This window comes from Homo sapiens, chromosome 7 (genome assembly GCF_000001405.40).
Source record: "Homo sapiens chromosome 7, GRCh38.p14 Primary Assembly".
NCBI lineage: Eukaryota > Metazoa > Chordata > Mammalia > Primates > Hominidae > Homo > Homo sapiens.
Window position 1 is genome coordinate 123,922,692 of NC_000007.14, and position 22,082 is coordinate 123,944,773.

Here is a 22,082-nt window from a genome sequence, read left to right on the forward strand (position 1 = left end):
AGAAAGAGGAAAGTCAGAGAGTCCTTCCTGCCTCTGCTGTTGCTCAATCACCTTCAGCCTAAAATAATCAACATGCTGGGCTGGGCACAGTGGCTCACGCCTGTAATCCCAGCACTTTGGGAGGCCTAGGCGGGTGGATCACCTGAGGTCAGGAGTTCAAGACAAGCCTGGCCAACATGGCGAAACCCCGTCTCTACTAAGAATACAAAATTTAGCTGGGTCCAGTGGTGCCTGCCTGTAATCCCAGCTACCTGGGAGCTTGAGGCAGGAGAATCGCTTGAATCCAGGACGTGGAGGTTGTGGTGAGCCAAGATTGCACCACTGCACTCCAGCCTGCGCAATAAAGTAAGACTCTGTCTCAAAAAATAAAGTAAAATAATAAAAATAATCAACATGCCAAAGTAGCATATTTTGGGGTAGCATATTTTGAATTCCTTCATTTCCCCCATCTGAAACTTTACCATAAGTTTCTCATAATAAAATCTGAATTAGTGGCTGTGGAGAGAAGAATCAGTTTAGCAGCTGAGTGATAGATCTTCAAAAGAAGAATATGTAGATCAGAATGAGAATAAATAAGCAGAAAAGTGCAAATCTAAGCACATTTCTCCATATCCCATTAAACCAATCTCCCAACTCTGGGAATAGGTCAGTCTAATCAAATGGTTGAGCCTCATTATCTTATGGAGAATATTAATCTTTTTTGTTCAAAGGTATAAATCAGATAACGTTTGTCCCAACTGATTCACAAAGAGGCAGCATTTTCATCAACCACACAAGATAGAATGACCAGTGTTGTTCATGAACAAAAAGTGGAACCTGTAATTCCCAAGATCTAGTGTGTTCCACAACTTTTGTTATTGGTCATATTGATGTCTCCACACCTTCATTTTCACGTGCCTCTGTCAGTTTGTAGAAGCAGAAAATGTTGTGAAACATTTGACATAGGAGAACTGCAATCTGGCTTTGGCAGCTAAAAGGCTTGATTTTGTCACCTGACCAAGTTAATCCAGATTTTTGATCTATTTATATACAATTTCTGGTGCTAAGGAGCCTAATCAGGAGAGCAGCCGAGCTATCCCACCCAGGTTGTGCAAGAGTGGCCTATGAACCAGCCAACACATTTGGTGATTTGGCAAAAGTTTGTGCTATAAAAGGTAGTTCTAGAATCACTTATTGTCACCGGATAGAAAGTCCTGACTGTGAGTTTTCCAGGTTCTTGGAGTGTTGAACAAAGAATTGAACAAAACGCACAAACAAAGCAACAAAAGAACGAAGCAACAAAAGCACAGATTTATTGAAGTGAAAGTAGCCTCCACAGAGTAGGAGCAAGCTTGAGCAAGTGGCTCAAGAGCCTGACTGCAATGTTCTTCAGGGTTTTAAATTAAACTAAAAGAATTTGGTTAACACCCCTAGGTACCCTTTAGAGACCTCCAATTGGTTACACCCTACGCAAATGAAGGATTGACCTGTGACCAATCAGACACTGAAGTGGAGGCTTGGTTTGAGACCAATCAGAGGCTGAAGTGGAGGCTTGGCCTGTGACCAATCAGAAGCTGAAGTGGAGGTTGGCCTGCAACCAATCAGAGGCTGAAGTGGAGGCTTGGGCCACAACCAGTCAGAGGCATTTCTCGTTCGTGAGGTAGGGGAGGAGGGTTTTGTAGAGGTCAGGAACTCTGGTCCCTTTTCACCTGGGCATGGAGAGGTGGGGTTTTCCTTTTGGTCCAATTCCAAGAAGTCAGCCAATTTGTCCTCAGGCTCCCTGTCTCCCAACCCTATTCTCCTGCCTCATTATGACCTCCATGATGGGTTTGAGGATGTGGTGTATGGAGTCAAACTACAGGGTTTGATTGCAATATTGTCTTGGATTGTTACTTGGGAAGAGATCAGTACCATATTTGTTTTTAATTGGAAAAGTCTTTTTCTTCCAATGTCTTTATTTGAGCAAGGGACAATTCTTGAGCTTACATAGAGGTTTTTCCTTGCCCAGTGAACTCACCAGAAGGAAAAGTAGAGTGACATTGTTTTTCTGACCATGGATACCATACTCTTTCATTCATTTATCTTCCATAGTTGGTCCACCTGGTACCCCATGGACAGGAATAAAAACTAATTCAGGTTTGTTCATGCTATCAGATGTTGACATAAGCAATAATTATATTGTTTAGCTGACATGACCAAGGTTTGGGAAACTGGTGCAAGGGTGGTGTCAGGTTTGTGTTTAACCTATGAAGAAAAGAGTGAGGTTAATATGAAAGAGGCAGCATTTGAAAGAAAGCCCACAGTGGAGGATCAGAGAGAGAATAGGATAGATTGAGACAAGTAATCTCCAGTCAGCTTCTCAATAAATGGGAGGTTTTGTTGAAAAAGATCCCCCCTCTACTCCCCTCCCCACACCAGGGAGGAAAGAAACTTAAAGGGGGAAAATAGATGAAAGCAAAGTTTTTTATCTGTGATCTTGAGGAAAGCTGTTTGCTTTGTGGTGTCATCTTGCTTCTAGAGCCTTGGCTCTGAAATCCTTACTATGAGGTCACCTGTAGGGATGGTCTTCCAGTTGTCCTGAGAGTGATGACTGGCTCCACCTTGATGTGGCTCACATAAATTCAGAAAGTATGATAGCAGTGTAGGTGGTTAGCAGCACCTCATAAGGTCCTTCCTAGCAAGGTAACAGTACAAGCTTTTTCTAAAAATCTTGATGTATACCTGATCTCCTGGTTGAAAGAGTTGGCTTGATGGATTTTTTCCTATAAGTTCTTTTTATGTCTAGATTTTTATGTTCCACTTGACCTGATGATTGAGGATGGTATGAAGTAAGAAGTTTTAATGAGTAATCCAGAGATTTTGTGAGTGAGTGGTTTATTTCTACTAAAAAATGAGTTCCTTGGTCTGATTCAATCTATAAAGAAATGCCAAAATGAGGAATAACCTCAGTCGTTAATTTCTTTACCACTATCATGGTGTTGCATGAACCTGGCAGATGGCGGTTTTAGTGAGCCGAGATCATGCCACTACACTCCATCCTGGGTGACAGAGTGAGACTCTGTCACAAAAAAAAAAAAAAAGGCATTACAATGGAGGGATTGGTTAATAAGACCTGTGTATAGGTGGTCTGCTACTGTGTTGCGAGGTGCTGTGTCTTATTAAGTCATAAGAGAATGGACACAGAATGGGAGAATGGGGAACGTGGAGGTAAAGGAGGGAACCTAATGTAAGAATACTGAATTTGCCAATTAAGGCACCAGCTGTGACTACTTCATACAGGAATGGGGACATGCCTGATGCCATAGGGTCTAATTGACTTGAGAATGTGAAAGGAAAATAAAAACTCAGAACCCCAATTCATCATGCCAAAAGGAAAAAAAAATTAAGCTGAAATGTGAGTTGTGCAAGAAACTGCCTTTTCTCTTGTTCCTAAGCAGATAGCTAGAGATAAAATGTTAACTCCACAGGTAGTTACTCTGTGTTCACCTTATCTTATGTAAAGTGCAGATTTACTGAGCACTGGATGAATACATAATTGACTATTCCCCTACCTACTTCTTTTCCCTTGCAACATGTGGATTATCATACCCTCCTTCTTTCCCCGCCGGCCTGCTTTTCCCCTTTAAATACCGAGGCCCTCAAATTCATTTTTAGAAAAAGGCACGGACCACAGACTGTTTCTGTGACTCCATGTTTATTTGTTCTGGGCTTATCCTTAACTTTGGCAAAATAAACTTCTAAATTGATTGAGACCTGTCTCTGATACTTTTTGGTTTACCAGAAATATAGTATAGGACATACCTGTTGATGAAAAGAGTCAAACTCTGTAAAATATTTGAAGAGAATTATTCTGAGCCAAATATGAGTGATTATGGCCCCGTGACACAGCCCTTAGGAGGTCCTGAGAACATGTGTCCAAGGTGGTCGGGGTACAGTTTGGTTTTATGTGTTTTAGGAAGGCATGAGACATTAGTCAAATACGTTTAAGAAATACATTGGTTTGGTTTAGAAAGGCGGGACAACTCAGAGTGGGGGCTTCTAGCTTATAGATAAGTTTAAAGATTTTCTGGCTGACAATTGGTTGAGGTTGTCTGAAGACCTGGGATCGATAGAAAGGAATGTTCAGGTTAAAGATAAAGGATTATGGAGACCAAGTTTTATTGTGCAGAGGAAGCTCTTAGATAGGAGATTTTAGAGAGACCAGGTTGTAAATAGTTTTTTTATAGGACTTAAAAGTGTGCCTGGCTCTTAGTTGATTATCTTCTGGATCTGGGAAGGAAGGAAAGAAAACAAAGGGGAAGGGGATTCTCTATAGGATGTGGATTCTTCCCATGAGACACTGCAGGGCAATTTTAAGGTATGGCAAGGAAATAGATCTTGGGGTTAAATATTTTTTTCCTTGTCTCATAATATTATGCCAGTCAGATTGAAAAGTAAGCCACAATATGTAGGGTCCAATAAAACCCATCTGATGAGAATTTATTGTTTGTAGGGCATGACTCCCTAGACCTCTTAGGTAGGAATTTGGGTAAGATAAAAAATCAGAGCTTAGTCCTCATATCCAAGAGGCAAGAGGTTGTTTTGAATACCCAAAACAATCCTATTCTTTTCATGGCAATATAGGTGAAAAGGTTTGCCAAAGTTGGGTAAGCCAAGAGCTGGCTATGTGAGAAGTGCTCATTTTAAGGCTTTGCAGGAGTTCAATGGCTCCAAGAGCTAGGAAATGAACTCTGAAGTAGCATCGGAAGGAGGGCATCTATAGCGATTTAGCATGGGCAGCAAAAGTAGGAACTCATTGATGACAATAGCTAGCTGTCCCTAGGAATTTATGCAGCTGCTTTTTGGTTTTGGGAGAAAGATGGGCAAGGCTGATTCAAAGCATTTTGTGCTGTTTTTAGTGCCCTGAGATATCTCATGTTCTTAGCAGGTAACAGTCGTTTGCATCCACTGATGTTTAGATATGAAGGATTTAAGGCCTCATTCAGCTAGTTCTTTTAGGAGAACGAGGGAGTCTATAAGAGCACCCTGTTTAGTTTGGTTATAAAGAAAGAGGTTATTAATGTATTGAACAAGAGTGAAGCCTTGAGTAAAAGCTACAGGGTCGAAATTGGTTTTACAGACTTAGAAAAATATTGAAGGGAACGCATAATATCTATGAGGTATGCATCTATGTTGATTGTCTTCCTCTAAACATAAATGCAAAGATAAATTTTGAGTCCCAGAGTAATGGAATTAAAAAGAAAGCTGACCAGAGGTTAATTACTATAAACCAGACTGCATCAGCAGGAATTGAGGTCAGAATAGTGGCTGGATTAGGAATTATGGGGTGACGGCGCATTGTAAGAGTTCATGGCTCTTAGACCTTGTACAGATCTATGGATTTGATTCCCATCTAAATCAAATTTTACTTTTATTATTGGCAAGATTAGGGTATTGCAGGGTAAGAAGGTATAAAAAAACCCTGCTATAAAATAGTTTATTGTAGGTTCAATTCCTTATTTTTCATCTTGAGAGTACTGCGCTACTTACAGGAAAGGCTAATTACTTTTCCAGGTAACGCCCATTGACTGTGCACTCAGTAGCTATCCAATCTCATTTATATGTGAGGCCCAGATACTAATTGGGATGTCTTTTAAGACTGCATCCTCTTCAGAAGATTTTAGATTGATATGGGTTTCCATTAGGGAAGGTAGGAAGCTTGAGGTTTGGTCTGAAGGTAGGAAAATAAAAAACATCTTTATAATTATACTCTATGGTGGCATTAAATTTACATAACAAACCTCTGCCTAAAAGGTTTGCCAGTAAGAAGTCAGAAACTAGAAAGGCATGATGGATGTTAAGAGGGCCCACAAATATTGGGGTGGCCTAAGATGTAGGCGACGAAACAGGCTTCCCTGGAATTCCAACAGCTGAATAGAATTAGAGATGATAGAGATGAATACTTTGAGCCAGAAGTAGAGAAAGTCACATCAGTGTCAACTGAAAAATCCAGTTCTTGATCTTCTATTTTAAGGATGGAGGATATACTTCCTCTCTCACAAAGAGGAAAATGGGTCCTCTGAGGAAGTTGGGGTCTGGAGAGATTGTTTAAGCTTTCCTTTCTTTCAAGTGCAGGACAATTGTTTTTTTCAATGTCTAGGTTTGTATATAGTGACTGCAAACATCTTGAAATGAATAGGGGAGGCTTTGTGGTTGGTAAGAGAAATGGGTGGGATTTGAATTAACCCTAGAGTCATAGGTGTGTTTTTATAAAGACTAAATTTGCAAAGCAAGGACAATTGATGTTAATTTTTCCCCCTCCTGTTTTCCTGCGAGCCTTTTTTCAAAGAATTGGGTAGAAGCTTCAATCATAATGTTGAAGAGACTGTCCTGCCCAGACAAAAAAGCTACTTTGGATTTGCTTCCGTATTCTAGACAGGATTTCCAATAAAGGTGGAAATAATAAGATTTTTATATTCTGGGGCTTTGAGGTTAATGCAGCATGCCTTTGGAAAGTCTGTATACAGCATTCCACAAAAACCTTGGCATCCCCTTCTTTCTGAGTGTACTTTTCAACCTTAGACCAATTCACCTTGGTAGGAAAGGTCTCTACTATCACTTTTATGAGGCCCTAAATATCAGCTGCCAGCTGAGTCATTTCCTGGTCATTTGCAGGAAGGCCTGGGAGAAGTTCTGGCTACCTGTTTTCTTTATGTGTGTTTGTTACCTGGGAGAGGTAGTTGTTCCTAGGGGGTTGTCTGGCTTGTCTGGTAACTACAGTATCACCCTGGGTAGGAAGAGCCAATCAAAATCACTATGAGGGGAGTTGTATATTGTCACTAACTTTTCTAACTTCTCTCTAAGTTTAATAGGATCTTCTGAAAGGTGTGTGTTTTGGGGGTGGGGTGGGGTGTAAAAGGGCTTTTTTATTTTAAAAGATCTGCTGTTGTCCAGAGGACATGAATTCTTTGTTGTGGGTATTAAGGATACATCCACAAAAGGAATTTCATGGGAAGACTTGCAGCTGATGGGGTCTGATTATATCGACCAAGAAAGTAGATGGAATTATAAGGGACATTGAAATGAGCCCTGCTGTGTATCCCTGGGGCCTCTGACAAAGTTATTTTCTGACTATCAGCATTTACATAAGTAACTTGTATTCCTTGGCCTGGAGATTAGGCCAGAGTGCTTTCTGCCATTCTTGCAGGGAAAAAGAATTTAAAGAAGGAAGCTGGGTGTTTAGGGATTTTTTTTTTTTTTTTTTTTGAGGAGTCAGAGGAGCTTCAGGGATTAAAGGAATTTGCTTAGGAGGCTGGGCTGGATTTCAGGGAGAGAAACGTAAGTCAGGGTCTGGAGATTCAAAATATCTTCTGGAAGGTCAGGGATAGTTTGGAATTGAGAGTAAAGGGGAAAGGGACATGTACAGTAGATGTGGATTTTTAACTTTTGTTATAAGTCTGATTTCTATTCTTAATCTTGAGGGAATCCCTAAGCCTAGCCAAAATGCTCTTTTTTTGTCCTACTTCCAATTTCATCTCCCCATAGGTACCAAAAAGCCATTTGTTCAGGATGAGAGTTCTCTAAAAATCTTTTCAAATATAAAAGTTTTTCCAAATCCATGGATTCATCATTTGGCCATTGTAAGTAGGATCTCCAAGCATATATCCATTCTAACAGTAACTCAATCCAATAAATCTTTTCATGAAAAAACCTGGAGGTAACTTTCCAGGCTTAGAATACATTTTTATCATGAGTTCAAGAGGTATCGCCAAAGAGGTGCAGAAGATGCAGCTCCCATGATCCAAAAAGCCACTCCCAAAAATATCCTAAGAAAGCAAAGACTCTCATTGTCACACATGAAAAGACTCTCATTTCACAAACATTGTAAGAATAATGATTGTGAAAATTAATGTCTCTGGTGTCATACACAAGTGAGATGCACCCAATTACAGACTCTCTAATCTGTGATATTGGACAGGTGAAACTGGATGGGACTTCCCAGCACTGGCAAAGCAACAAGGGTAGAGAAAACAAAGACTCCTTATAGACTGGGACCTTGAGAGCAAATGAGACATAGGATTTACTGGGGGAACTTACATACAAGGATGGTCTGGTCGTGGAGAACTGGACGGGAGAACTGCTCCCATTTGTAAAAAGCATGCAGATTAGATAACATTTTTACTTAGCACCCACCACCTAGCAAGCTCCATCTAACCCAAAACAAAGGGACTCGATCCCCTGTATGGCCTATATTCTAAGGGATGGGTCAGGGGTTCAGATGTCCTTCGTAGCTAAGGAGTGAAACTCTGGGTTGGCCACTCCTGGATTCTTACACCACAGGGTCATTGTCAGGGTGTTCTTAAGTCACTACTCTCAACTGCGTCTGCCATACTGACCCCTCATTAAAACAAACTCCCCTGAAAGCTGGCAAGGTTGGACAATGAGGATGCTGCTTGCACACTTCATGTTGTTGGGGCCTAGAAAGTAATACCCCATAATGAAGGCCTCAGAAGCAAAAGTTTTTATCTGACCTTCTTCTGCCCTCCTGCCTCTCAGTCCCATTTGCCTCCAAGGCTAGCCATAAAAACTAGAATTTCTTTTCCCCTGGGCAGGTCATAGATACCAGAACCCCTTTTTTCCAAAAGTCAGCCATAAAACCTAAAAATATTACTCTAACTTTCCCTCTGCCTTTCTATATAAAAACAGGCCATAAAGAAATTATGTGACCTACCTTGTTTGACTGTAGGTCGTAAGACCCCCATTCCAGAGAGGTTCCTGTCCCATACCTAGAAGGAAGGAATGCATGCACAGAGAGGCCAAGAAGAATTTAGACAGGTAGGCCTGACTGGATTTCTTTCCCTCAGGCTATTAGCATTAGATCCTACCCTTTTTGTCCAGTCATATTTCCATATGGCTCTTCATACTTTGCTGAACTGAAGCGTAAAAATAGACAATTTCCCCTCTGTCTTTGGGACTTCATTCTGAAGGCTCCTGTATATACACATTGAATAGACTTGCATGCCTTTTTTTCCAATTAGTCTGCTTTTTTCCAATTGATTTTTCAGCATACCCTCCAATGTCTAGTGTTCCTAGCCTTATGGTAGCCACTTGATGCATCCCTGACAACCTGTACCCCTCAGCTGACAGAAATCAAAGAACATATCCTCACTGGTTACAAGCCGAGATCTCAGAACATAAAAAGCGATGAAAGGAGAATCTCATCTTTTTTAAAAAATTGATGACCCACAGCAAAGTTTGTCCAAACTCCAGCCCAATGAGGACAGTAAACCCATCAGTCTATAAAGCCAGTTTTAACAACATGCCTATAGGACATATGCCTGTGTGCTACCCTGTGATTCCCTTCCATATGAAAAATGACACAAAAGACAGAGACATAGGAAAACAATGACCATCTCTGGGAGAGAAAGGACGAATTAAAACCAAGAGTACTTCAAATAAAAATCACAAGGAGTCCAGGTTGAAAATGGCAGTGGCAGCTGCATTCTGGGTTCCTCGGCTGTGGGGTCAGTCCAATCCCAAATTGGAGCAGCCACGTCAAGTGGTATCTATGGCTAGGAGGGCTCAGCTAGTATGTGGAAGACCCTCACCTATTTTGTTGTGCTTCCTCGGGTGGGAGTGAGCATGATAATTGTTTTCTTGAAGTTGCATCGTGGAGAGCACAGGAGACCTGAGTTGATTCCTTACCCCCATCTCTGCATTAGATCCAAATCTTTTCCTTGAGGAGATGGTAACCATACTGTATTTCATAACCTTCATGTGAATCTGTTTCTAACTGCCTATGAAGATGAATAAAGAGAACGTGAACCATTACAAATCTACTGGGAACCACAGAGCTGGTTGAACCATTACTCTGCACATGGACCAGAAAAAGTGTACAAGACCCTAATCTCACCTTCTTTACTTGTATAAAATGATGAACAGTAAACTGATTTGCCATCTCTTTGCTTGTGGCAAAATGTAGCTTAAAGAAATTAAACTCTGATTGGTCATATGCAAAAAATAATGAGTATCTATACCCAAAGAACTCGTTCACACAAATGGTTTCTCCTGCTAATCTGAATTTGAAAAGGGAAAGACAAGGATAGTCTCTTGCCATTTTCATTTGACCAGATGCTACAGGCAGAGATTAGGAGGTTGATGTGGTAAAAATGTTTACCTTTGGCTAACTTTGCTGGGTGCTCCCAAGATCTCAATGGTAACCTCTGGAGTGCGCAGGGTGTCCCAGCCAATGATATCCCAATCTCATTGCCAGAACTGTAGGGAAAGAAAAGTAACCTTCCTCTACTTCCTGAAGTTCTGTGGCTGAGGCTCATGAATTGAAGTGACAAAAACATAGATTAACAGGAGAATAGCAAACAATTTTTAAAATATTATTTATTTTATTTTTTTTTTTTTAAATTTACTTTAAGTTCCAGGATACATGTGCAGAATGTGTAGGTTTGTTACATAGGTATACATGTGCCATGGCGGTTTGCTTCACCTATCAACCTGTTATCTAGGTTTTAAGCCTCGCGTGCATTAGGTATTTGTCCTATTGCTCTCCCCCTCCTTGCCCCCGACCCCTGACAGGCCCTGGTGTGTGATGTTCCCCTCCCTGTGACCATGTGTTCTCATTGTTCAACTCCCACTTATAAGCGAGAACATGGGGTGTTTTGTTTTCTGTTCCTGTGTTATTGAGACTAGCAAACAATTTTTATTTATTATTTTTACATGCACATTGAAGCCTTCATAGACAAAAATGAAAACCCAAAGAAACAATTAGGATAGCAAGCTTACATACTTTTAAAACAAAAATGTTAAATTGTGGAGAAGTGACAAAATGGGAAAGGGGTTTAACCTTCTAGGAGTAGTAATTTGTGGAAAATGACTAGGAAATGTATTGGGGAACTAATGGAAGATAAGAATTATTTAATAGGATTGTTTGTACAGATCCATTTGAGCACTGACTCCCAGTCTTCATAAGAATGTTCTCTTCTTATGAGAAAGGGTTTGCAAACTATTCACCCAACAAGGGATTAACATCTGGAATATACAAGGAACTCAAACAACTCATCAATGAAAAATAAATACATACATCATTTGATTAAAAAGTGGGCAAAGAATCTGAATAGACATTTCTCAAAAGAAGACATACAAATGGCCAAGAAGTACAGTCATACTCTGTATAATAATGTTTTGGTCAATGATAGACCATATATATATATACCATGGTGGTCCCATACGATTATAGTGGAGCTGCAAAATTCCTATCATCTAATGATGTTATAGTCATTGTACTGTCATAGTGCAACACATTACTTCTTTTCTATGTTTAGGTATGTTTGTTTAGACACATGAATACCTACCATTGTGTTACAATTCCCTACAGTATTCAGTACAATAACATGTTGTACAGATGTATAATCTAGGAACAATAAGTTATACCACATAGTTTAGGTGTGTAATAGGCTATATCATCTAGGTTTGTATAAGTACACTCTATGATGTTCCCACAATGATGAAATAACCTACAAATGCATTTTAAATAACATATCCTTGTTATTAAGGGATGCATAACTGTATATAAAAAATGCTCAACATTGCTAATCATCAGGAAAGTGCAAATCAAAATCATAATTAGATATCATCTCACTCCAGTTAGAATGGCCATTATCAAAAAGACACAAAATAACAAATGCTGGTGAGGATATGGAGAAAAGAGAACTCACACCTTGTTGATGGGAATATAAATTAGTATAGCCATTATGGAAAACAGTAGGAGTTTCCTCGAAAAACTAAAAAATGGAACTATCATATTACCCAGAACTCCCACTACTGGTTATATATCCAAAGGAAAGGAAATCAGTGTGTTAAAGAGATATCTGCACTCTCATGTTTATTGTGACACTACTCACAACAGCTAAGATATGGAATTAAGCTAAGCATCCATCAGTGGATGAATGGATAAAGAAAATATGGTATATAAACCTAATGGAATACAATTCAGCCATAAAAAGGATAAAATCCTGTCATTTGCTACAACATGGATGAGCCTGGAGGACATTAAGTGAAATAAGCTAAGCACAGAAAGATAAATACTACATGTTCTCACTTATATGTGGAAGCTGGAAACGTTGATCTTATAGAGGCAGAGAGTAGAATAGTGATTACTAGAAGCTGGGAAGAGGAGGGAGGGGGAATAGGCAGAGGTTGGTAAATGGATACAAAATTACAGCATGACAGGAGGAATAAGTTCCAGTGTTTTATAGCATTATAATTAACAATTTATTGTGACTATAGTTAACAATAATTTATTGTATGCTTTCAAATAGCTAGAAGATTTTGATTGTTCATAATATGAATGATGAATTAGATGACAGATATGCTAATTACCCTTATTTGGTTATTATGCATTGTATACGTGTATTGAAACACACACCGTACCCTATAAATAGGTAAAATTATTATTTGTCAATTAAAGATTTAAAAAGAGAATGTTGTCTTCTTCCTAATACAGGGAGGGTGCCTGTACATGGGAAATTTTATGTCTTGTTTTCGGCAGGAAGGAAGAAAGCAGAGTGCCCTTCTTGCATCTTCAATCACTCTCAACTCAAAATAACTAATATGCCAAAGTGGCATATTTTGGGGTAGCATGTCCTGAATCCTTTCATAAGCATTGTGCTAAGTGTTTTATATACATTATTTCATCAAAATTTCACAAGGGACCTATGAGATAGTTGCTTTATTGCCCATATTTTACAGTTTAAAATACAAACAAAACTAAAGCACAGTGAAGTGAAATAGTTTGGGCAAGATCACATTGCTACTACATTGAGAAACCAGATTCTAGGCCTGTTGATCCTAATCTAGAAAACTAAATTACTTAGTCCAGTAGTTTAGGTATTTACAGACATTGCTTAAGGAATTCTCAGACAGATAAGAATTCTATTCTTGTTGCTGAAGAGATTAAAGAGATTAAGTAACTTACTAAGGCTAGTTAATTAGAAAGTGGCTGCCCTTAGGATTTAAAACCCAAGTGTGTCAGCCTCCAAAGTTTTTGGGTATTCAAGTGATTTAATCCATTCCACAGTTAAAAAATACATTTTATGCTGTTACTCAGTAGACATACACATACAAATATATAACTGATAGAAAAGGTTCATAAAACAATACTCACCCTTATTCATGCAATGACACTCTGGTACTTCTTATTCTATCCTAACCTATTTTATCCTATCCTATTCTACACTATTATAGTCTATTTTATGGGTTTTTTTTAAAGGCTTATTACAAGCAATTAAATTTACTTTATGACTCACTATAGGTTGTGACCTTCAGTCTGGAAAAAAATGCTAGGTATAGGCTTACTTAATATCATTTTCTTGTATTACTGTGTTCTCAACTACTCTCTGTTGTGCTTAAAATGAATTGGACTACTTAAGTGAAATTTAGTTGTGGCTTTGTTGTAAGACTAACAAGTTCATATGCCTGCTGCACAGTAACAGTGCAATGCACTGAGACAGCAGTGTTTGCAGCAGAGAAAGAGTTTATTGATTGCAGGGCAGCCAGGTTAGGGGATGGGAGGAGACTCTCAAATCCATCTCTTCAAGGATTCCTGGGATGAGGTTTTTAAGGGGATTGTGGAGGACAACGGGCTGGAAGATTAGGGTTATTGATTGGTTGGGGTAAGAGGGATGAAGTCATTAGGATGTGGAAATTTTATTCTTTGGTAAAAGGAGACGAGTTAGCTCCTCATGGGGTCCCTCAGACCAGCTGGTATCAGTAGTTTCACTGGTACACAGGACTTAAAAAACATCTCAAAGGGAAAACTTACATTTAGTAATGTTCAAGTTGTCATGTAGAGCAGTTAGGGGGAATTGCAATCTTATAGCAGTCTACGTGATTCTGCAGCAACAGGGAAACAGTATAAGGAAGTGGGTCAGAGAGCAAGCTAACCTAATGTTTAATGCTGAGTGTGCTGCAGGCTTGGTTTATCTTAGTTCTCCCCCTCCCTTCTTCCCTGATAAATTCTATAAAGTTTATGGGAATGGTTTCACTCTGTAATGCTCTTTCTAAATAGATTTTAGCTAGAGATGGTCTCAGAGTGGAGGGGCTGACTGAATTCTGCTGCAGAAGTGTTGTTTTAGCTCTCCAATTTCCCTTTTAATGAGAAGCATGTGATCTCTATGGAGGCAAAACACCAGCAGTGTCTCAGTTTATTGGTGGAGATAAAGGGACAATTGTAAATACAACTTGCTCTGAGTTTCTACAATTTGAAATGAATTTTGCTATGTATAACTCTTCCTCCTCCCACCTCACCTTTCTTATTAACCACATTCTTTACAGAAGACTTAGATTATTGTTATTACCCCCAAGCATCTCTGTATTGTCTAAATCAGTATCCATGGCAAATATTTCTTTAATGTTCTTAGGCTAGGGGTTTACAATCTCTAAATTTTTATAGAGATACCCCTAATCTAATTGCATACATTGGCTTTTATGGCTCCCAAAATGTCAAAAGGAATCCTCTCCACACCTATTACAGTTACCTTTCTCATAGTTCGGAATAAATTCAAATGAGCCATAATAAGCAATATTTAATAATGTTGGTAGTCCAGGGGAAATAACTCTACACTTTAGAGTCACATAGCTTCTTAAAAAAACACTTCAGGCCGGGCGCGGTGGCTCACGCCTGTAATCCCAGCATTTTGGGAGGCCAAGGCGGGCGGATCACAAAGTCAGGAGATCGAGACCATCCTGGATAACATGGTGAAATCCCGTCTCTACTAAAAATACAAAAAATTAGCCGGGCATGGTGGCGGGCGCCTGTAGTCCCAGCTACTCGGGAGGCTGAGGCAGGAGAATGGATTGAACCCGGGAGGCGGAGCTTGCAGTGAGCCGAGATCGCGCCACTGCACTCCAGCCTGGGCAACAGAGACTCCATCTCAAAAAAAAAAAAAAAAAAAAAGACGCTTCATAGGTATCATTTTACTCATTATCCCAGCATTCGTGGAATTTAGATAGATTTAGGAATTACTGATGTATTTTTAAAGAGTTAAGTGATGCTTAAAGATTGAATAATTTGGATCTTCCAGCTTTGGTATAATAGAACTACAAATGGAAATAAAGCCTCAATTCTTTTCTGGATCTGAGTTCCTTAGTCTTTTTAGACATGTGTTTCATCAGCTTCCACCTCCCATGGGCAGATGGAAGACAGTAAGGATAGAAAGTAAAAGGTAAAAAGTGAATGTGAGAAGACAGAAAAAAAGTCATTGTCAAGAAAGACATTAATAAATGTTTCTAGTGTTGTTTTGTGGCACAAGTATATTCAAATCTTGTACCATATCACATTAGTTAGAAAGAATGGTGGCAGTTGGTGCTGGGAAGATGTTTGATTGCCTAAGACTTTAGTTATAGTTTTGCTGTCACAAAATGTGCTTTTTTTTTTTTTTTCCTTAAAGAGATGGAGTCTCACTGTGTTGCCCAGGCTAGAGTACAGTGGCTGTTCACAGGCATGATATGGGCACAGTGCAGTCTCAAACTCCTGGCCTCAAGTGATTCTCTGGCTTCAGCTTTCCAAGCAACTGGGACTACAGACACATACCACCATGCCTGGCTGTAGAAAATGTGTATTCTTAAGGTAGACTTCAAGACATAGCTTTTTAGGAAGATAAATAATAAGCCACTTACCACTCTGATAAGATTTTTAAACAAGTCACCTATCCTAAGGAAAAATTCAGTCTGCATCCTAAGTGCTCCATTTAGAGGCTTGATATCTCTATAGGCATCAGATGCCTTAAATAGATAAGAGGAAACATACTTGTTGCATTATCTTTTGAAGGTGAGCTAATATATATTTATTGGCATTTATCTTCAGCATTGGTTAATGTGCTTAGTTACAATTGATGTGATTGGGTCCCTATTGCCTTTGGACAAAGGTGTTTTCTGTTTGTGTTTGACTGTAGTGGCTATTTGGATCTTTAATACAATCCCATATGTAGAAGATTTAGTAACTATGACTTTGGCAAATCATAGAAATAAAACCCAAAAGTCATCTGACTGGTCGAGAGAAGAGAAACACTGGTTATTGCTAATAGACGGTTAATTGCAAACCCATAGCCCTCATTATGGTTATTATACTTTTGTGAACTTCATTACGTAATGCACCAGTAATAATAAAGGTGTTTGTCATTCTTCTTAAACTTCAGCCTAACTTGGTACTGAGCCCTTTGCCTTAGTGCTAGGCAGCTGAACCACTGTAATCGCAGAACCGGGATTGGTCCTAGGTTTTTTTTTATAGTGGGATGTTGGATTGACTGAAAATCAATTATCACTGATCTCAGCCTGGGGTTTAAAAAGAGACATTTGAAGAGAGCATCCTCAGCAAAGCTATTATGTTTTTAATTAGCATCTCGCATTTAGATGATCTTCAAGTCTTTTTTTTTTTTTTTTTTGAGACAGGGTCTTGCTCTGTCGCCCAGGCTGGAGTGCAGTGGTGCGATCTCGGCTCACTGCAAGCTCCGCCTCCCGGGTTCACGCCATTCTCCTGCCTCAGCCTCCCGAGTACCTGGGACTACAGGCGCCCGCCATCATGCCCGGCTAATTTTTTGTATTTTTAGTAGAGACGGGGTTTCACCATGTTAGCCAGGATGGTCTCCAACTCCTGACCTCGTGATCTGCCCGCCTCGGCCTTCCTAAAGTGCTCGGATTACAGGCGTGAGCCACTGTGTCCGGCCTCAAGTCTTTATTCAATTACTTCATTTCAATCATATCTGGGTGCGTCAGCCTTACGCTTGCCTACGAAAGACATACTAGTCTTCTGAATAATGCTTGTGTTCTGTGGCTTCTGGATGACATGCTTGGTTTTTCTTTGAATATTTTGACTTTAAGTTTCATCATCAGCCATAATTTTGAGTTTACTTAAACTCAAAGGACATCAAATTCGTTTAGTTAATTAACTAATTAACTAATTTAGCATGCACAAGAGGAGAGACAAAGATTTTCTGCTAATCAAACTCTAATCAGGCTCATTTGTGCATTATTTTTGTCTAAGTTTCAGACTCTGGGCTTGGGTGTCCTTCCTTTCAGAGTCCAGTTCTAGCAAGAACCTGCAAGTCAGTTTAGCAAGAATTCCCCATCTTCTATTTCAGATTACTCTTGGGGGTTCCTCATCCTCCGTCACCCCCCAGGAGATGTCTGATCACCCCGGCCAGCCTTCAGTAAGAGTACTGTTAGGTTGTTTTCACCAGAACCTGCCTTACCTGAGATCTTTCCTCTTAGTAATTTTCTATCCTGCTGATCCCCACCCTGCCGTTGGCTACAAATTATCACTTTTCCTTGTTGTTTTTGGAATTGAGCCCAGTATTATACTGAGGTTTTGTTTCCCCTATTGCAATTGTTTTTTTCTGAATTAAATCTGTTTTCACTGCTGTAATTACTGCTTACTTCTTTTTTTTTTGACTGCACTGTGGCTTCTGATTGGTGGATTTAGTTTGTGTTTGAACATCTTCATTTTAAAGTGTCACCATTGGTCATAATTTTGAGTTTAGTGAAATTTAAAGTATATCAAGTTCATTTATATAATTTACTAATTAACTCACTTAGCATGCATCAATTGGGTACCAATTGATGAGTGGCTCTGAAAATTGAACAATAAACTAATCCTAAAATTAAAGGTGTATTATATGCATTCTTTAATAAGCTCTGAGACCTACAAAGATATTTTGGACATAAAATGTTATTCACATTTTTTTCCCCAAAGGAATTATCTTCCAAGAATAAGATGAATTATTTTCTTATTTTTAATACAACATAATTAGTATTGACTTACCATGCTTTTTTTTTTTTTTAATTTTAAGAGATGGGGCCTCACTTTGTCATCCGGGCTGGGGTGTGGTGGTGCAGTCACAGCTCACTGCAGCTTTAAATTCCTGGCTTAGAATGATTCTCCAACCATAACCTCCCCAGTAGCTGGTACTACAAGCTCATACCACCATGCCCAGCTAACTTTTTTATTTTCTATTTTTTTAAACATGGGGGTCTTCCTATGTTGCCCAGACTGGCCTCAAACTCCTGGCCTCAAGTGATCCTTCCACGTTGGCATCTCAAATCTCTGGAATTACAGCCATGAGCTATGGTGGTGCTTGAACCTATAATGCATTTTTAAAATGTGAAAGTACTAATATTTCTTATAACACATCAATGTAAATATTGAGTCAATGCTGAAGAATTCAATATTTCCAATTCATGTTAAATATTGAGTCAATGCTGAAGGATTCAATATTTCCAATTCATGTTTAATGATTGTGATTTTCTAGTCTCTTACATATATTAATTCCTAATTACACCATTACAATAGGACAAGTTTACTGTACAAATTGGACATGTGTGAGTTATATCTCTATGTTTCAAAAGAGTAATTAAATAAAATTTTATTTTGGGAACTGCTCTTGAAGGATTTCATTATTTATTTGGCTCTTCTTTTTCTCCCTCCTCTCTCTCTTCCCATCTTAAAAAGCAGGATTCTGTAAACCAAAAGGTATCTGAGACAGGTCTCAAAACATTTAGAAAATTTATTTTGCTAAGGCTATGGACACACCTGTGACACAGCCTCAGGAGGTCCTGACAATGTGTTCCCAAGTTGGTCGGGGTGCAGCTTGCTTTTATACATTTTAAGGAGATGTGAGACATTAATCAATATGTGTAAGATGTACATTGGTTTGGTGTGGCAGGGCGGGACAACTTGAGGTGGGAGCTACCAGGTCATAAGTAGATAAGAGACAAAAGGTGGCATTCTTCTGAGTCCTTGATCAGCTTTCCATTGAATATACAATTTAGTCTGGCTCAGTAAATCTGCATTTTTACATAAACAATAGGACAGAGGAAGCAATCAGATATGCATGTCTCAGGTGAGCCTCAGTGGGCTGACTTTGAGTTCTGTCTGTCCTTTGTTCACAAGGAATTCCCTTGTGGGCAAATTGTGCGGGAGGTATGTAGCTTTTTACCTTTGTATCTAGCTCATTTAGGAATAAAATGGGAAGCAGGTTTGCCTGACATAGTTCCCAGGTTGACTTTTTCCTTGGCTTAGTGATTTGGGCGTCCTAAGGTTTATTTTTCTTTCACATTCTCCCCTTTTCTTTTAAAAGTCTTTCAGGAAAAGCATTTTAGAAGAAAATGGGTCCCTGGTGTCAGGTTTTGTCTCATCCCTTGTGGCTAGGGCAGTTTATTCCTAGACAGGTAGGTCCCACATTATTAGTAAAGCTCATTTTTAGCAGGTTGTGAAATCTCACATTCTACAGAAAGAAAATAGGGAGAGGAAGGGAGAAAAACAACAACAAACGAAGAAGTGAGCAATACTGGAAAATTGATATAGGCACTATTACTCTGAAGTCTATGAATCAGTAGGCTGGTATGAAAGTGGTTTATGTATGTAAATAGGTTGCTGTTATTTTCTTCTAAAGTTTAAGTTGTCTAGCTTCAGTTTGCAGGACTTTAAAAAAGCACAGCTTAATTTTTAGTGATTTCAAATCAGGAAAAATGGGGAAAAAGAGGAATAGAAGAAAAAATTTAATAGATTATTTTGTAGACTGGTAGTCAGGAAAAATTTTAGAATTCAGTCCAAACTATAAGTTCAGTCCAAATAATAAAAATTGAAAAATATTCGGCAAGACTAGAATCTAACAACAGGTGTACTACAGTTATTTACTGCCTCAGAGACCTTTTTTCTAAACTGTAGCTTAAAACAAAGGTCTCTGAGATAGTTTGAAACACATTTTTTCTTTCTCCAGTCCTATTTTCACTAAAGACAAGTCAAAGGACAAATTCAGCTGCAAAATAAGTTTTAGTCTTATTATACTTGGCCATAGTATATGCATAAAATCAGCAAGAATAATTGTTTCTTTTTTAAAAAATTGGCTTTGCTGAAACTTTATTCCATAAGGATTCTCAGATTTGACTTTAATGCCTTAAGCCCAGCCTGTGCCTGCAGATACCTGTATTAATGGAGTGAATTCCTCACCTCAAGGTCCCAAGGAACCTTGGGGCTCCTGGGACTGTCAGAAAGTGACATTCTTTACTTACCACAGGTCAGCAACCTGTGCAGGGACTGTGTAGACAAGATATAAGATCAGCTTTCTGAAGGGGCTTTTATTGCCTCTTTAATTCAACTTTGATTCCTTAAAGGAGTCTGTATCTGAAAGAATTCCATTCCAGTAAAAAACCTTGGTAAAATAACTAGTGTCTACAATTATGTCCTGTTACAAAAGAAAACAAATTCTTATTACACTTATGCAAATAACTATATTGCTATAAGTTAAGCATACTTGCAACTAGTTTCCAAATTTTGGAGAAATCATGTAGAGAGAAATATGCTCCAAATTTTGTTTGTAGGAGTATACTTTACTCAATTATTAAAAGCTGTAAATATTTCAAAAGAAAAGTTTTTCTTACCTCTGATAAACAAAGGATCAGCAACATTTTAAGCAAAAAGTAATAAAAGGATTTATTTCAGTCTTCCATGCGGTTTAGTCTATGCAGTTAACTCCTGTTCTGCTTGATATTCATGAACATTTCAGCTCTCTTTAAGAATCTTGGAAGTTTTCCCTCTATTCTAGTGTCACAATCTCCAAAGTTATCAGAAACCTGCCTTCAAGTGCACCCGTCAGAATCCTATGCTGGTTATAATGCCACCTTTTGAAAAGGATAAAAATAAAACTGCAGATGACAAAAGTCTTAGAACAGTCATAGTTAAATACACAATTTACAAGAAAATTGGTTACTTCTGTGGCATACAACAATTTCACATAATAATCATAATTATTACTGATAACATATGCTAAGATGTATTAGAAGCACAGGAATTTCATACAATTTTGGAACACAAACTAATTACACATTTATGTAAATATAATTCAAAGAAGGTTAAACATTTTTTCATATTTGACAATACTTCCTGTATGATTTTATTATATCAAATAAACCAAATATCTCTTATAAACTTTAGGGAACTAATATCAATAAATTTATGAGGACCAAAATTAGAATTTGATTTTGGAAAGTGTTTCAAATATAAAATGTTTAGAACCCTTGATATCACAAAATAGGATTACAGTCATTGTAAAGTAAGTCATTTATTTAGCCAAAGTGATAACTCAAAGATTAAAAAAACGAAAGCAGAAACCTTTATCTTTGAGAGAGGAGACCAAACAATAAGCCTTAATAAAGACAGAATGAAGTCAGTTAAATATGTCTCTCAAATCTTATAAACTGCCTGTAAAACTTTAATTATCTTGACCATAAGATATAATTTCCATAAGCCTTTTTATAACCTTTATAACCTTTTATTAAGAAGTGGGTTAATTCTCCAAGAAAACCTTGTTAATCTAACACAGGAGTCCATATTCTGGTCTTGCTTCAGCGTGCCTTCAACATTAATGGTTAATTTATAGAGAAACTGAACTTATTTTTTCTCAAAATCAGCCCTTATGATCTCACATGCCTAGCTCTTCTGCTATAGTCCCTGGGCCTTGAATTGAATAGTTTTAGTTTCTGGCCCTGTATCTCATGAACACAGTTTATTTTGATTGGCATCTTCTACTGGGTCTGAAAATGAGGCTTTAACTGCTGTCGGTTTTTAAGATTTAGCAAGATTTGGGGTCCTTTTTAGACTCAGAAGTCAAAGCCCTGTACTCAATGACACAAGGACTGTAAAAGCACCTGCAGAAAGTTACACGGATGTAATAACCTTAATTAAATAAAAATTTAATCTCAGTTTTTTTCCTAAGCAAACCCAAACTTAGTAATAATGACACAGAAATTATTTTGATAAAATGTAAAATCTGTTTGTTAGGCCCAGTTACCAAAAGGCAAAAGAAAAGAACTTCTGCAATGTGACTGCTGCTCCCTGTGGGAAGTTCATTTAGATAATCCTCACGTCAGACCTAATGAGAATGGCACTTGAATTAATTAGCCATAGGAGGTGCTTCCTGAGCAATTTAAAGCCAAGAGCACAGAATATTATGTTGGAAGAAAACATTTCCTTTAGACCTTCAAGATAAAACATTATTAGCATCAGGCCAAAACAATTATGACCCAAAGAAAAAACTTACAGTAGCTGAAAATGAATT

The 22,082-nt window shown here is 38.4% G+C and overlaps 1 protein-coding gene and 1 pseudogene across 5 annotated transcripts in view; both read left to right on the top strand.

Moving 5' to 3' along the window:
- Positions 1-2,549: 2,549 nt before the first annotated feature.
- SPAM1 (sperm adhesion molecule 1) overlaps positions 2,550-22,082 on the top strand; it is a 46,174-nt gene continuing 26,641 nt past the window's right edge. For 2 of the 5 annotated variants that reach the window (NM_003117.5, NM_153189.3), the window contains exon 1: positions 2,550-2,661. The gene's annotated coding sequence lies outside the window, so the exon portion shown is untranslated. Of the gene's footprint in view, positions 2,841-3,163; positions 3,374-22,082 lie in introns of those variants that run through there. The other 3 variants (NM_001174045.2, NM_001174046.2, NM_001174044.2) reach the window with 2 other exon arrangements.
- Positions 9,441-9,768, top strand: COX6A1P6 (COX6A1 pseudogene 6; annotated as a pseudogene).